At 45.8% G+C, this 16,040-nt stretch overlaps 1 protein-coding gene across 4 annotated transcripts in view, besides 1 other annotated feature; it reads right to left on the minus strand.

The window, feature by feature from the left end:
• CIB4 (calcium and integrin binding family member 4) overlaps positions 1 to 16,040 on the minus strand; it is a 60,162-nt gene that overhangs the window by 16,621 nt on the left and 27,501 nt on the right. The window contains exon 1 of one of the 4 annotated variants that reach the window (XM_017003330.3): positions 7,677 to 8,682. The exons of the other annotated variants lie outside the window; for them this stretch is intronic. Within the exon in view, the coding sequence (XP_016858819.1) occupies positions 7,677 to 7,727 (51 nt within the window). The 5' untranslated portion in view covers positions 7,728 to 8,682. Of the gene's footprint in view, positions 1 to 7,676; positions 8,683 to 16,040 lie in introns of those variants that run through there. 4 annotated transcript variants of the gene reach the window in all.
• Positions 343 to 843: an enhancer, noted in NCBI's record as "H3K4me1 hESC enhancer chr2:26821036-26821536 (GRCh37/hg19 assembly coordinates)". NCBI's record gives its function as "activates a minimal SCP1, AML or CMV promoter by ChIP-STARR-seq in naive H9 embryonic stem cells {active_cell/tissue: H9 hESC(naive)}" and the evidence as "EXISTENCE:reporter gene assay evidence [ECO:0000049][PMID:30033119]".

Genomic DNA, 16,040 nt, shown 5'->3' on the forward strand with positions numbered 1-16,040 from the left:
GGGGAGGGACTCAGCCAGCAAGTGGGAGAGCCGGCCTGAGACCCAGGACTCCTGAGCCTGTCCTGCCCTATTTCCACTAAGGTGCCTGGTGCCAAAAAAAAAAAAGCAAAGGCCAAGCAGTGGCCATTAAAATATAGAAAACCTTGGAAATGGATCCCTCTAAAATTCTTACTTTAATAAAAAACATTTTTTGGCCGGGCACGGTGGCTCACGCCTGTAATACCAACACTTTGGCAGGCCGAGACTGACGGAACTCCTGAGGTCAGGAGTTCGAGACCAGCCTGGCCAACATGACGAAACCCCATCTCAACTAAAAATACAAAAATTAGTAGGGCGTGATGGTGCGTGCCTGCAGTCCCAGCTACTCGAGAGACTGAGGCAGGAGCATCACTTGAACCCAGGAGGCGGAGGTTGCAGTGAGCTGAGATCACGACAGTGCACTCCAGCCTGGGTGACAGAGGGAGACTCCATCTCAAAAAAAAAAAAAAGTGCAAAAACAGAATCTAGATTGAAGTTAAAGAAATGGCTCATGGCCCAGGAGAACTCAGCAGCCGGCTAAAAATGACTCTGTGACTCTGTGACTATGAAAGTGAGAGGCACGGGAGGGGGCCACGGGACCAGAGGCTGCAGAAGAGAGAAGGTCAAAGAAGATGGAGCTGACACGGAGCAACTGGGCTTGGGAAACAGTGAGGAATCCGAGTATGGAGCAGGGGACACTGTCCCTGAGAGGATGGCAGGGCAGATGTCAGGCCGCAGGGCTAGGGCCGAGCTCACCAGAGCTGCGATTGGGTCCTGGGGACCCAGGAGTGGCTAGTATAGTTCGCTGTAAGGCCTGGCAGGCACCTGCCAGGAGAGTGTCCCAGGGCTGTCTCTGGTCCAACAAGGTGCAGCTTCCTTCTCTCCCAGGGTCCCTGTCTCAAGGGATAGTTCAGGTTATGAGCCCCCCTGAGACAGAGCAGCTCCAGTCAAAGGGGCACCGATAGTGCTGCGGGAGAGTTTCTAGGGGCCCTGGTGGGGCAGCCTCATGCCCCTCCCTGCTCTCCATCCTGAGCTAAAGGCCAGCTCAGCCGGTGTCCTCGGATCTGGTTCAGTCCAGCCCCAGGCAGACAAAACAGCCAAGAAGGGGAAGCTGAAAGAGCAAGCCTCATTAGAGATCACAGGTCCAGTTTACTGGATTCCAGATTTTTGATGCTATAACTTTAATAGTCTGAAATCTGAACGAATAAATTTGGGGACCTATCCAGAGAGTTATCATCTGTATGAAATTTCACACTTTTTTAGAAGTCTTCAATCCTCCAGAGGAGGAAGGAAGTGACAGTTGACAAAGCAATGCTTCCATTTCAAGAATAACATGTACCCTGGTTTGAGGGCGTTTTGAACAAAGGGAATACAAACATGTCAGTACAGCAATTTATACAGGTAACTCAGTGTATGATCTCCATTTATACGTGATGAAACTAAAGTAGATGAAAATAAACCCCAAATTCTGGGAGTTTTTTTGGAAATAGAAACTACAGTTTATCGACAATAAAAAGATTGCAGTCCCTGCCAAAAAAACTAAAAGTTTTCTTTTTTTAAAGATCTTCTTAAAGTTATTGAACAAGAGATTTGATTTGAAGATGAAAGTCAGAGGAAAAATATTTGGACCTAGCTTAAAAATATCTCCTCACCATTTCTCCAACTAGCGCCTAGTCAAAAAAAGCTTTTTACAGTTGCTGGAAAAAATTCACACAAAAATACGCTAGTGACTCAATGATGATGTCATTGATGCACTTGGACTTTCAAGAGCTCATTAAAAAAATCAAACAGTATTAATTTATGTAAAATTTCTCATCTCTAAATTTTCTTAATTACTAGTGTTTTTGTTTTCTTTTTCTATTTAGACTTCATTTAGTGTTTTTATTTTCTAATCATACTTTATTTTGTGAATTGTATCTGCTACCCACTCTTATTAAAATAATATGATTGGCCGGGCATGGTGGCTCACACCTGTAATCCGAGCACTTTGGAAGGCAGAGGTGGGTGGATCACGAGGTCAGGAGATCAAGACCATTCTGGCCAACATGGTGAAATCCTGTCTCTACTAAAAATACAAAAATTAGCTGGACATGGTGGCGTGCACCTGTAGTCCCAGCTACTCAGGAGGCTGAGGCAAGAGAATCGTTTGAACCCAGGAGGCAGAGGTTGCAGTGAACCAAGATCACGCCACTGCACTCCAGCCTGGTGACAGAGCGAGACTCTGTCTCAAAAAAAAAAAAAAAAGATATGATTAATGTTTATTGACTGGGCGCAGTGGCTGCTAGGCATGGTGGCTCACTCCTGTAATCCCAGCACTTTGAGAGGCCAAGGCAGGCAGATCACCTGAGGTCAGGAGTTCAAGACCAGACTGGTCAATGTGGCGAAACCCGTCTCTACTAAAAAATACAAAAATTAGCCAGGCGTGGTGGTGAGCGCCTGTAATCCCAGCTACTCGGAGGCTGAGGCAGAAGAATTGCTTGAACTCGGGAGGCAGAGGTTGCAGTGAGCCGAGATCGTGCCACTGCACTCCAGCTTGGGTGACAGAGCAAGACTCTGACTCAAAAATAAATAAATAAATAAACAAATAAAGAAATAAAATGATATGATTAATGTTTATATTTTGAACATTTTACACAGATGTAAAGCACTTGTCAAAGAAAGAGGTAGATGAAGGTGTCTGTTAGAGTGGTATAGAAGAGGTCAGTCCTTCCTCAGTCTTGAGTGGAGTCCTCAGTTTACCTGAAGCACCCTCTCACCCAGAAAGGCACTGCCCAAAAAGTGCCTCATGGCTGTGTAAGGTTAGGTGAGCAGAGCCCATGTCCTGGGAGAAGGGTGTAACAAAACCTTTTGTATTTTAGTGCCTTTTAAAACTCCCCTCAGATATACTTATGGGTTAGAAGGCTCAATATTATTAATGTTGATTCTTTCCAAATTGATCCATAAAGTTAATGCAGTTCTAGTTAAAGTTTTCCAGCCAGTCCATTTTGCAGGACTTGACAAGCCAATTCTAAAGTTTACGTGGAAATGCAGGGGTGAAGAACAGCCAAGTTAATCCTAAAGAACAACAAAGCTGGAGGACTTATACCACTAGATATCAAGACCTAGGCTGGGAGCGGTGGCTCACACCAGCACTTTGGGAGGCTAAAGGGTGAGGATTGCTTCAGTCCAGAGTCTGAGACCAGACTAGGCAACATAATGAGACCCTGTCTCTACAAAAAAAATTAAAAATTGGCCAGGTATGGTCTTGCACGCCTGTAGTTCCAGGTACTTGGGAGGCTGAGGTACAAGGATCAATGAGCCTAGGAGGCTGAGGCTGCAGCATGCCATGATTGTGCCACTGCACTCCAGCCTGAGTGACAGAGTGAGACCATGTCAAAAAAAAAAAAAAATATATATATATATATATATATATATATATATATATATGCATGCTAAGCCTTTAGTAATTAATGTGGTATGGTATTTGTTCAAGGATAGACAAATAGATCAATGGCCATAATGGAGACTCCAGAAACAGACCCACACATATATGGCTACCTGATTTATGACAAAGATAACATGGCAATGCTGTGGGGGAAGGGACAGTCTTTTCCATAAGTGATGTTGGGTTTAGTGGACATTCATATGGGGAAAAAATGAATCTTTATAATCCTACCTCACACCATACACAAAAATCAAATCCAGACTGATCATAGATCTAATATGTAGGACTAAAATAAAACATTAGGTAACTATCACAGGAGGATATCTTCATAATCTCGGGGGCAAAGACTGTTTAACAATATACAAAAGCACAAACCATAGGAGAAGACTCATAAATTGGAGTATATTAAAAATTTTCAAATTACATTGCTCAAAATACATAATTAAGACAATGAAAAGGCAAGCCATAATAATCACTAGGTACTTCCACAGGTGAATGGATAAACAAACCATGGTGCATTCATGCAATGGAATACTACTCAGCAATAAAAATGAAGAACCATTGATTAATGAAACAACGTGGATGATTCTTCAATGCATTTTGCTAAATAAAAGAAGTCAGACACAAAGGGCTACATATTGTATGAGTCCATCCCAGAAAATGTAAAACCATAGGGCTGGAAAACAGATCATAGCTGTCAGTGGTTGTGGGAGGGGGAATGAGTTCACTACAAAGGAAATTTTGGGGGTGATGGAACTGTTCTCTAGGGTGCTGTGGTGCAGATAGAAGCCATGCCTTTATGCATTTCTGGAAACCCATAGAACTGTACACCACAGAGTGAACTTTACTGGATGCAAATCAAAGACAATATGGGATGATAGAGAATCCAGGATGGAATACAGGTCATGGCAAATGAAACCAACTGTATTACAAATGCATGACAAAACCTTCCTGAAAGGAGTGGAAGAAGAGGAAGTGACCAAGTAACTTTGAAAGGTGGTGTTTGACCAGGTACGTAGTCTAAAGACCAAAATAATATAAATAAACTTCTAGGGAGTATTCTAGGGAGTCATTCCAGGGAGTATTCTAGGGAGTGTATTCTAGGGAGTCAATTTGATTCTCACAGGGTTATGGATTAGCAATTCTTACCACAAGTATACAAAGAGTGAACAAATACATAAATAAATAACAAGTTATAAGTAAGATAAAATAAGTTATAAAGAAGCAAGAGGGAAGGCTAGATATGGTACTGGATTAGTCAGAGACATCAATATGAACTAATGGGTATTTTACTACATGTACAGATGGATAGATACAAAATAAATATTGATGTGTAGTATACATGGGTTAGTATACATACCTATATTTTCTAGCTTCTGTCTACCAAATAACTTTACAGTGGAGAAACTTAGAAATACCATCCTCACCAAATGATCAAGGTTAATATCACCAGTAATAGGTCATGTTGATGTCAGGTATCCCCTGGTATGATGCAATGAGAAGGGCGGTTCAGGCCAGGTGCAGTGGCTCACGCCTGTAATCTCGAGCTTGGGTGGCTGAGGCGGGAGGCTCACTTGAGGACAGGCATTCGAAATCAGCCTAAGCAACATAGTGAGATCCCATCTCTAAAAAATTAAAATAAGCTGGTGTGGTGTTCTGTGCCTGTAGTCCTAGCTACTCGGGAGGGTAAAAGGGGAAGATCACTTGAGCCCAGAAGTCCAAGGCTGCAGTGATCTATGATCGCTCCACTGTGGCATGGGCGATAGAGCAAGACCCTGTCTCTAAAAAACGGGGTGGGGTGGGGGGGTTCACTTCTGTGGTATTTGCACAAATCCATTACTTCTGTCTAATTATGAGAAAACATCTGACAGACCCAAGTTGAAAGATGTTCTACAAAAACACCTGGTCTGTGCTCTCCAAAAAATCATGGAAAAGCGAGACTGAGAAACTATCACAGATCAGAGGAACGAAAAACACGCAATGACTAAATGGAAGGTGGGACCCTGGAGGGGATCCTGACACAGATCAAAAAACATGAGTGGAAAACTAGTGCAAGCCGAGCAAAGTTTGTATTGCATTAATACAATGCAAGCACTAATTTTTATTTCTTAGTTTTGAAAAATAAAGTAAATATAAAAATACCTATATAAAAATATAATAGGTATACAGGTCCTGTATACCTTTCACCCAGCTTTCCCTGATGTGAATACAGGGTGAAAGGTACACAGTCTTGTCTTACTAAATCTTAAAAGCTGGACTTGAAAATATCAATGATTTCAGTAACAAAACAGCATCCAAGAACAAAACTCAGTAACATTTAAATGAATGCAACAAAATTAAACACCTAACCATACAAAATTTACAGTGTTTAGCATCCAGTAAAAAATTATCCATCATGCAAAAAAAGAAGGAAAATAAGACCCACAACCAGTAGAAAAATCAGCTAAAGAAAACAGACCCATGCTTATGCCTGTAATCCCAGCACTTTCGGAGGCTGAGGCAGGCAGATCACTTGAGCCCAGGAGTTCAAGACCAGCCTGGGCAACATGGCAAAAACCCTATCTCTATTTTAAAAAAATACAAAAATTTACCAGGTGTGGTGGTGTGCGCCTGTAGTCATAGCTCTTCAGGAGACTGAGGTGGGAGGATCACTTGAGCCCAGGAGGCAGAGATTGCAATGAGCCAAGATTGTGCCACTGCACTCCAGCCTGGGCAACAGAGCAAGAGCATACCTTAAAAAAAAAAAAAAAAAGAAAGAAATATGAAGAAAACTACATCAATGCACAGCATAATCAAACTGCTAAAAAGCAGTAATAAGAAGAAAAATCAGAGCTGGACATGGTGGTTCATGCCTGGAATCCCAACACTTTGGGAGGCAGAGGCAGGAGGATCGCTTGAGCCCAGGAGTTCGAGACCAGTCTGGGCAGTTTAGCAAGACCCTGTCTCTACTAAAAATAAAAAAATTACCTGGGCATGGTGGTGCACGCCTGCAGTCCCAGCCACCTGGGAGGCTGAGGCAAGAAGATTGCTTGAGCTCAGGAGAACGAAGCTGCAGTGAGCTATGATCATGCCACTGCACTCCAGCCTGGGTGACAGAGCAAGACCCTGTTTAAAAAATATAAATAAAAAGAAGAAGAAAAATCTTTCTCCAGAGGCAGGAAACACACAGGTAGAGAGGAACAAAGATAAAAATGACACTAGGTCTCTTATCAGAAACTAAGCAAGCCAGAAGACAATGGAGCGATATATTTTACTCTCTGAGAGAAAGAAAAAAGTCTCTTATTCTACTCTTCTATACCCAGCAAAAATACCTTTCCAATCTGAAGACAAAATACTCTTTTTTTCCCCCAGACAAACAAAACCTGGGTGAATGCATCAGCAGTAAACCAGAGCTACAAAAAATATAAAAGGAAGTCCTTCTGACAGAAGGAAAATTCCAGAAGGAAGCCTGTTTCTGCACAAAGGAATGAAGAATATTAGAAATCATAAGTAGGTGAGTAAACATAAAGGGTTTTTCCCCTCATTTTGAATCCTTTTCAAGAAGACAAATTCACAATTATAGTTGGAGAGTTTAACATCCAATGATTGATAGAACAAGTAGGACCTCTAAAAATCATTAAGGATATGAAAGACTTAAAAAGACTACCAATCAACGGGACCCAATTGATATTTTACAGAACACGCCACCCCACACAGCAGAATATACATTTTTTTCCAAGTGTACTTAGAATATTTACCAAGATAGACCATATTCAGGGTTATAAAACCAATCTCAATGAATTTAAGAGGATTTAAAGCATACAGAAAATGTTATTTGAACACAACAAAATTAAATTAGAAATCAATAATAAAAAGATTCTTGAAAACCCTCAAAGTCAAAGAAATCATGAATAATTAGAAATTATTTTGAACTAAGTGAAAATGAAAACATAACATATGAAAATTTGTGGTATTCAGTGAAAGCAATGTATACATGGAAATTAATAGCATTAAATGCTTGAATTTTTTAAAAAAAGAAAGGTTTTTAATGTTTGTTCAAGTAAAAAAAAAAATGTCCTTCACCCCTTGTTGGCAGTCAGTCACCGGGGGAAAGTGTATCAGCTGGTGGATGGTGGAACCCATTCCACCCTGTGCTCCTGGGCTACCTGCAAGTGGCTGCCCGGAGGAAATGGAAGAGCTTATCACCACCCACGGTGACTTGGACGCCACAGGTAGATGAAGTTGCTGGACTCACCTGCGAACAGGGGAGTGGACGCCCTTTCAGGGAAGGCTCTTCTTCCTTCATCTCACTGCCTAGGAGGAATTCCTAGTTCTGGGTCTGAACCAGGATTCACCCTTCAGCACTAGAGTATCTCTACCAGAAGGTGGCAGTGTTGGGTCAGCATCATTCAGTCAGTTCACAGACCCAACAAGTGAGCACCTACTGTGTGCAGGCTGTGACGACCTTGCAGGCAGGTGGCAGGGACGATATTATCACTTCATTTTGCAAATGCAGGGTCGATATTATCACTTCATTTTACAAAGAGAGGAAACAGCTCAAGCCCAAAGAAGGAAAGCAACTAGCCAAACGAAGGTCAGGACTCAAATTCTGAATTCAAATGCCCAACTACAGTGCTACTTTTGACTCCATCGAGCATTTAATTAACTGTTTCCCAAGAAAATGTTTCAAAATCACACTCCCACCTACCATGCAGGCGGGGTTTGAGGAATCGCCATGAGTCCCATGACCCTGCCAGCCCGCAGTTACTCAGAGAACAGGCCAAGGGCAGGGGGGAGGCGCGGGGGAGGGCGAATGATGTGGCTTCTTCCTTTGGGAATGAAGACACAAAGCTCATCGTCTGAACTTCAAGTCCTTGCCGCAAATGCATCAGGGTGAGGTACTGAGCAACAGACACTGCGCTGAGTCCTGGGGCCCCCCAAAATGATGCAGACGCTGCCACTGCACTCCAAGAAACTCAGCCTAGGCACTTACAGATGTTTCTTCAGAACCAGACAGCGTGGGGAAGTATCTCAATCAAGCGCACGCAAAGTGCTATGACAAGAGCTAGGACAGGACAGTGAGGCTGGGAGGCAGGACGGACAAAGGGCTCGGAAGGAGAAACCAGGAAGAAGACAGAGGGGAGCAAAGCCGAGGCCAAATCCAGAAGGGAGGGAGATGTGGTGGAGGATTCAGGGAAAAGCTGTTCAGGGGAATGAGAAAAGAGGCAGGGCCAGAGGACTCCCCCCTCCTCCCGCGCCCCTCAAGCTGTCTCTTTCCCTTCCAGGGAATAAAAATGTGAAGGAGGAGAAGGCAGCAGTGGGGTTTAACTTGGACTCTGAAACCCCTCAGAGACTCTAGCTGGTTGGTATGACCCTCCCCAGGTAGAAAGAACCCTGAAATTTTCATTTCTGGGGCGCTGGGGTCCAGGGAGCATGGAGGGTGAGAAATTTATTTAGGTGAATGCACTTCCTCTATTGTCCGGGGCCCTGGAGGCATCTTTCCTGCTAATTATTTATAAGAAAGGGATAGCCCCTGTGTTTGAGATGCTCAACCTTCCTGAAGTCTAAAAACAGAGAGGCTCAAATGGGAGCTGTCTCCTAGTGACAGATGGGCTGGCAGGGTCAGGCTAAGGATGTGTCCTGCCGGCAGCTGGAGGCGGATCGCTAATGGAACAAATAGGGAAGAAAGGCAGTAAAAATGTTAAATATTATTAAACAGCCATGGGATCATGTGGCTTGAACCTGACTCAGACCCACCAAACCAGTCCTCCCCAGATTCCAGGCCAACAGGTACCTGCCACTCCCTGGAGGAAACTTCCCAAAGAGCCATCTGCCCTAACTACCTCTCCTAGGTGGAGCTCAAAGGACTGCAGGCCTGAGGTTTTGGGGGCCACCTAGAAGCCTGGTCTTGCGTTGTGGGAGATTTGGGGTAGGCAGTGGAGCGAGCAGAGGCTCTGGAGTCAGATTGACTCTAAAAAGTTAGTATAATGACTTCTTATTTGACATCTACAAGATTTTCCCATCTTGCAGCTTTTGACTATATTTATACAATCTCAATATTTTAATAGTGCAACTTGCCCGAGCAAAAAAGAACAAAAAAGATAACCAAAAATCAATTGTCCCCTCACTTGTTCATCAACATCTATTACAGGAGAAACAAAACTTACCCGTATTGTAGATAAATATCTATCCACGTTTGTACATTACCATTTTTAATAGCTTGTGATCAACTCTACAATATCTTATAACACATTAAACAATATTCAAATTCCTAGATAACAACACAACAAAACAAGCTGTGTGACCTCCATTTCCCCATCTGTAAAATGGGTAAAGTCATAGCCTTGTTCACAGGGTTTTGTGGGGCTCGAATGAGATTATATTTGCAAAACACCTGGCACTGCCAGGACCCGGATAAACATTTGCTACCATGAATAACCCCCACCCCACTTCACCTGTCCTCCATCAGCACCACCAGCACCACCAACACTCCTGGCTCTGGTAGAGCTGTTCATTTTGAGCTCCAAGCAAAGCTGTTACCTGGGCCAGCGTGTGTCCAGGGGTTCACCCTGCCTGCCGGAGGGCAGCAGAAATGTGTGTTCTGGCTCTTCAGATGCTGACTTTGGCCAGAGGCTTGGCTGGCCAGCCAGGCTGATGTGAATGTCACCTCCACGTGAAATCTCCAGGGGACTCAAAGGAGAGCAGCTCTGGCCGGGCGCGATGGCTCACGCCTGTAATCCCAGCACTTTGCAAGGCTGAGACGGGTGGATCACCTGAAGTCAGGAGTTCAAGGCCAGCCTGGCCAACATGTTGAAACCCCACCTTTACTAAAAATACAAAACTTAGCTGAGCTTGGTGGCGCATGCCTGTAATCTCAGCTACTCAGGAGGCTGAGGCAGGAGAATCCCTTGAACCCAGGAGACGGGAAGGTTGCAGTGAGCTGAGATTGCACCACTGCACTCCAGCCTGGGCAACAGAGTTAGACTCTGTCTCAAAAAAAAAAAAAAAAAAGGAGAGTGGGTCTGGTGAGAAGGGGGTGAGAAGGGGGCTCACGTGCTGTGTACCTACCTACATTTCACCTCGCTCTGCAATTGAGGCTAGAGAATGACAGAGGCACTAACACATTGGCTGTGTGTCTGAGTCCCACAGGGAATTTGAAACAAAATTCAGATGCCTTAACCCTAGCATAGACTTTCCGAGTCAGCACCTCTAGGCCTAAGGCCCAAGAGTCTGTATCTGAATAAGCTGCCTGGGTTTCTCCGTGGACAATCCTTAGACTACATCCACTAAATGACCTGATCGAACTCCCAGGGCCACTAAATGGCAGAGACATGACACCAGATGCTGTCAGGCTGACTCCCAGGCTGCCCCATCCTTGCCTGGACAGAGCCTGCCACCCAACAGGGGTGGCGATGCGATGGGGGCTGTGGGGAGAAGTGGTGTGAAGCGCAGACCACACCCAGCCTCACTCCAGTGCAAACCACCAACCTGGAAACAGTGGTTTGGCACAGATCTCACCAAGCCTTCTTTCTCTCCCTGCACTCCCCAGCACCCCTGTCTCGTGGGTGGCCGGGCCCTGCAGAGGTGGCATAGCACATCACCCCCACCCCGGGGCCCACCCTCTTCTCACCTCTCCCTCTCTTGCTCTCTCGTCGCTCATGGTCACTTCCACCTGAGATGAGCTGTCTCTCCTGCAAGCCTGTCCTTTAACTGGCTTCCCTCTTCTAATTTCTGCCAGATTTTTTTAGGAAATGTTTCTATTGACAACCGCAGCCCTTTTGACAAAAACCACTTCTCCCAGAGCCCCAAATAAAGCACTGTTGTTAAATGGATGACTCTAGTTTTATTCTACCGCTTTGCTGGTTTTATCGAATTACGACGGTAATGAGAAAAAGATTATTATTGACACTAAAACAACTGGTGTGGGGGAAGGTGAGTCCTGTGAGTGGGGACGCCCCTCTGGTCTGAACAGGCCTGGGTGGAGGCAGGAGCTGGTGCCCAGTACAGAGAGAATGGGGCCCTTACAGGCACTCCAGGATAGAGGCTGAGGAGGGCAGGGGGAAGAGGAAGGGGAGAGGCAGCAGCGGATGCAAATGCTACAAGCCAGGGCCCTTACAGAGACCACCTCCCTCCTCTCCCCACCTCCCTCTCCCCAGCCTTCAGTGGTGCTGACCGAAATTCACACAGTGCTTGACATGAGTGGAATTTTTGCAGATGTCAGTGAAGAGGCCGAGAGTTTTGTCTGGGTGAATGTGAAGCGAAGCAGACATGCAGGAGACGGAGGCAGAGGGAACAGAAGGAAGATGTAGGAGCCCCTCTTCTTGTGAACCTCACTCCCACCCCAGACAAAAGAACAGAAAGATAGGGGAGGACCGCATACGCTCTTGGGCCAGAGAGGAGGAGGGAAGGGATTTCACAGCCATTTCAACTCCATTTTTCAGGGCGGGAAGGTCCCAGGCGCAACAGGGCTCCAGGTCTGGGCGCAAGGTTATTTTCTCAATTTTAATGCTGTTGTACTATGAGTAGCTTCAATGCTTGTGGCTCAGGCTGGGAACTTAAACACAGTTTATACGTTTTCCCACGGAAAACACAAACAAAGTTCCGAACAACCAATATGAAAACCCTTTAAAACACAATCTGTACCTGTACTTTACAGGCAGTTAGTTCAAAGCAAGAGACTGTAACTAACAGGATGAAGTCACCCACTCAAGGGCAGACCAGGCAGCGGAAGCTTAGAAAACTGCCTAGAACATTCGCTCCTCTGCTTCTCGTGGGAGCAGGCTGGGTTCCGCTTGGAGTGGCAGGGCCCCGCTGTGCCTCCACGACCCTCCTGGTTCCGGCCTACTGTTTACAAGCAGCCTTCCTGTTTGTAAGCCGCCAGAGGTTCTCAGATGGTGTCAGGGCTGCTTTGCAGCTGTTTGGGGACACCCAGCACAGGGCACGCTGGGAACCATGTTCCCTGTGAACTCTGCAGGCTGTAGATCTTTGCATCAAGATAACAGTTCCTCTTTTATCAAACACATCTAAGCAACAATTGATCTATTTTGTCCCTCACTTTGAATCCACTGATATAAACAGAAATGGACTCGCACTGCAGCCTCCTCTCACCAATAGCCGCCTCTCCCCCTGCCCACCCACTGCCCCACGCTCAGTGACTCTTTAAACAACGGAGTCTAAACCTAAGCAACTCAAAGGCCTTTTAATGTTTCAGTCCTTGACATTTTGGACTATTGGATTTTTGAAACCCCCAGCTTTCTGTTCTTCTCTCTCCTGTATCCTGGGGACTTTGCCCCAATAGTATCAGGCTGCCCTTGCCTGCTAAGGGCTCTGCCAGCCAGCCATGATTTACCTTGGCATTTATTAAGTACCCAGACCTCTGGGCACCACACCTTATCTATACCTTCCCTCGGGTCCAAGAAGGGCAGAAAGGAAGGCAGGAAACTGGTGCTTGTTAAATATTTACTGTATATCAGGTGCTGTGTCAGCCAAATTCACATCTATTTGTCCATTAATCCCTTACAAGAAACCAAGCAGTCAATAGCAGTAAGTCCATTGTATAGATTAAGAAAACTGAGGGGTGAGGAGGTTAAATTACTTAACCAAATAAGAGGAAAGGCAGGAATTTGATCCCAGGTCTGTGTGACCCTCAAACCTGAGCTCCTTCCCTGGAATGTTTTCCAGGAAAACGCTGCATTGCAATGGAAAAAATACACATGGGTGTCATACTCCCGGGCTAGCAAACAAGCCCAGGCTGAGAGTCCAGGAACAAGCTTGCTCCTGCAAGAGCAAGGGGAGAAGTGGAAAATGCCCCGTGAATCCCTGCATTTGCTGGGGTGGCCAGATGAACTGATGACCTGTCACAGGAGTGATGAGAACTTCTGCATCTCTCCCTCCAGGATGGCACCCTCTGGGCAGCAGTGCAGGTGGAGGAGACTTGGGGCTAGGATCCACTGCACACTCAGCAGGAGATGCAACCTAGCCTTCGGGCTGCAGGGCCAGCACTGCTGTGGCGCCTGTCAGCACAGTCCATCTGGGAAGTTCTCACATAATACTGTCCGTGGGAGGATGGAGAGAATGGATTGTATGATAACACAGGGTAGAGCTGCCTATTGAAAAACCACATGCGAAGAGACCTTTATGGAGTCATGTCAACTTAGAGGGAGGTCTCTAGTGATGTGTCACAGGGCTCCATCTTTTATCACTGATTTGGGTTAAGGATATTCCAAAGCCCAGGTTTCTTATTTTGTGCAGTTTCCCCTATGAGGCATAAAGGTTTTTCCATGTTGCTACATACTCAGTATAATTATCATTTTAATGATTGCGTAGTTCAAATTCTTGGAGTGGACAGTTCTATCCATCTAAAACCTCCAAGGAGAACCTGGATGTCTAAACTAAAAAAAATTCAAAAAATGAGAAAAATAATAGATGAGGGTGTTTATTACAAAATTATTTATAGTAACAAATAAATAAATAAACCCCTGGAAAGAATGTTAATGTCCAGCCATGAGGAGATGGTTTAGTAAATCAGAACTCAATGCAATTATGCGCCATCAAAATGATAATTACACAGACTATGTAGCAACAAGAAAAAGCATTTATGCCTAATGGAAAAGAGCACAGAATAAAATTGTATCTATGTATGTCTACGATATTATAAAATAAAGCTTGCCTAGGGGAAAAGACGGCAAAAGAAAATAGAAAATGAAAATTTATGTTAGGGTCGTTGGATGCTAAGGAATTGATTTCTTAAAATTTTATTTTATTGGTGTCATACTACGTTAACAATAAATAAAAAGCAAATTAAAAAAGAAAGTGCACTCCAGAGACAATTTGCTAAGCAAGCAAAACAACTTTCCTTCCCAGGGGGTTGGAGGCAGGAGCTTTTGCTTCTCTCTTCTGCTTCACTCTCTGCAGGGCAAGGGCTGAACCCAGGCAGAGCTGAACTCCTGGCTCCCAGACCCAGTGAGGGGCTGATGTGCACTCTTCTCCTGTAAGGCCTGGCAGGAGACAGGAATCCTATTCAGCTCAGAGCTCAATAAGAACGGAAGTTCAGTGGAAGATGGCCCCAGCTCATCGCACCATCTTTGAGTCTTAGAGCATCTATGTCTGTACCTTTCCATATTCTTTCCAAAATATGGAGCCAAAGATGGGTAACTAGGATGCAGTGGACATTTTTGTGGATTATTCTACAGGGTTCTAAGAGCCTTGTTGGCCCCAGTGCTGCTTCTACTTTCTGGGCGTGAAAGCCTGAAAAAGCACAGTGGTTCCCTGGCCTCCCTCCCCTCCCAGGGTCCCTGGTGGCTCGGAGGCCTCTCTAAGGAGGAAGGGACTCAAGAAGTGGGACCACTGCCAACTGCCTGGCCCTGCTGGGAGCCTTCCCTTTTCTCGGTGATTCTTCCTCTTCCAGGAGGCCATTTGCCCAGAGACAGAGAGCAGGAGCAGCTGGCCAAGCGAGGCACTGCATATGCACAGAAGGAAGCTGTCCTCAATCCACAAGAGCCCTGCCAGCTGCTCCCCGTGACGACTTTCCTGAAGGTGGGGTGGCTTAAGCCCTGGGGCAGTTTACAGAGTATGGGACAAGGGGGAGGTTCTGCATCAACAGGGGCCAGGGCAGTAGGTGCTCCAATCATCTCCAGAGATAACTTATCTCCCATCTCTGGGTTTTCTGCCACCTGAGAAGTGACGTCTTGGTCACTGGCCTTTGCCTCCATTCCCCTAGATGCTGGGTGGGTCTGCTGGGAGCACTTCCCTCTGGCATTTGGCCTTGGGCAGAAAGAGAGAGAAGGAGGATCCTTTCCCCAAGGCCTAGGGGACTTTCAGCAGATGCAAGGGCATTCATCATCTCTCCTCCTCATCTCAGCTTCAGCTTTCTAGGAGAGTGGGTTTTTCCCACCGGAGCCTGATCCCCCAGCTTATGCCTGGAGGCCTCCAGCACCTGGAGCTTGCTTTCTCTCGACTGAGCCTCCTCTCTCTGTTAGGAAATTTCCTCCCTAGGACCAACAGAAGGGGCCCCAAGGTCACTTTTCCCATCCACCTTAGCAGTACCCTTGGGGCCAAATCTAATTCCTCCTCCACCCACCAGCAAGGATGTAAAGAACGTATGTCTTCCCAAGTCTTTCTGCAGGTGGAGCACCCCAGTTTCTTAGCCACCTTCCCTCTAAGCCCCTGGTGTGAGGCTGGAGCTTACACATAAAGACTCCCCAGGTGGTCCTGCCACTCAGAGGGCACAGCCATGCCCTCCCTCCACAGGCAGCTTCTGGGAATGCTGCCTGCAATCCCCCTCCCTTTCCTGGAGTATTTTAGCATTTCACCTCCATTCTGTCATCCAGTCTTCGTAAAAACCCTCTGAAGTAGGCAGGGCTGCTATCATTGGATTCATTTTTCAGATGGGGAAAGCTGAGGTTATACACAAACTGCAGTTCAACTCCAGGGCTTTTGGTGACAAGCCTGAAGAGCCCAGGAGACTTTAGGGTTTGCATCCTGGAGTTGTATCCGGTGCCTGGCACACAGAAGGGGCCTGGGCTCTTGTGAGGGGCTGGGGCCAGAGCTAAGAGGAGAAGGAATGTCCTCAACAGGTCTCTCTGTAGTCGGGCCTGTGCGGGGCCTGTCCTGCCTCTCT

Source organism: Homo sapiens, chromosome 2 (genome assembly GCF_000001405.40).
Source record: "Homo sapiens chromosome 2, GRCh38.p14 Primary Assembly".
NCBI classification, from domain to species: Eukaryota; Metazoa; Chordata; class Mammalia; order Primates; family Hominidae; genus Homo; species Homo sapiens.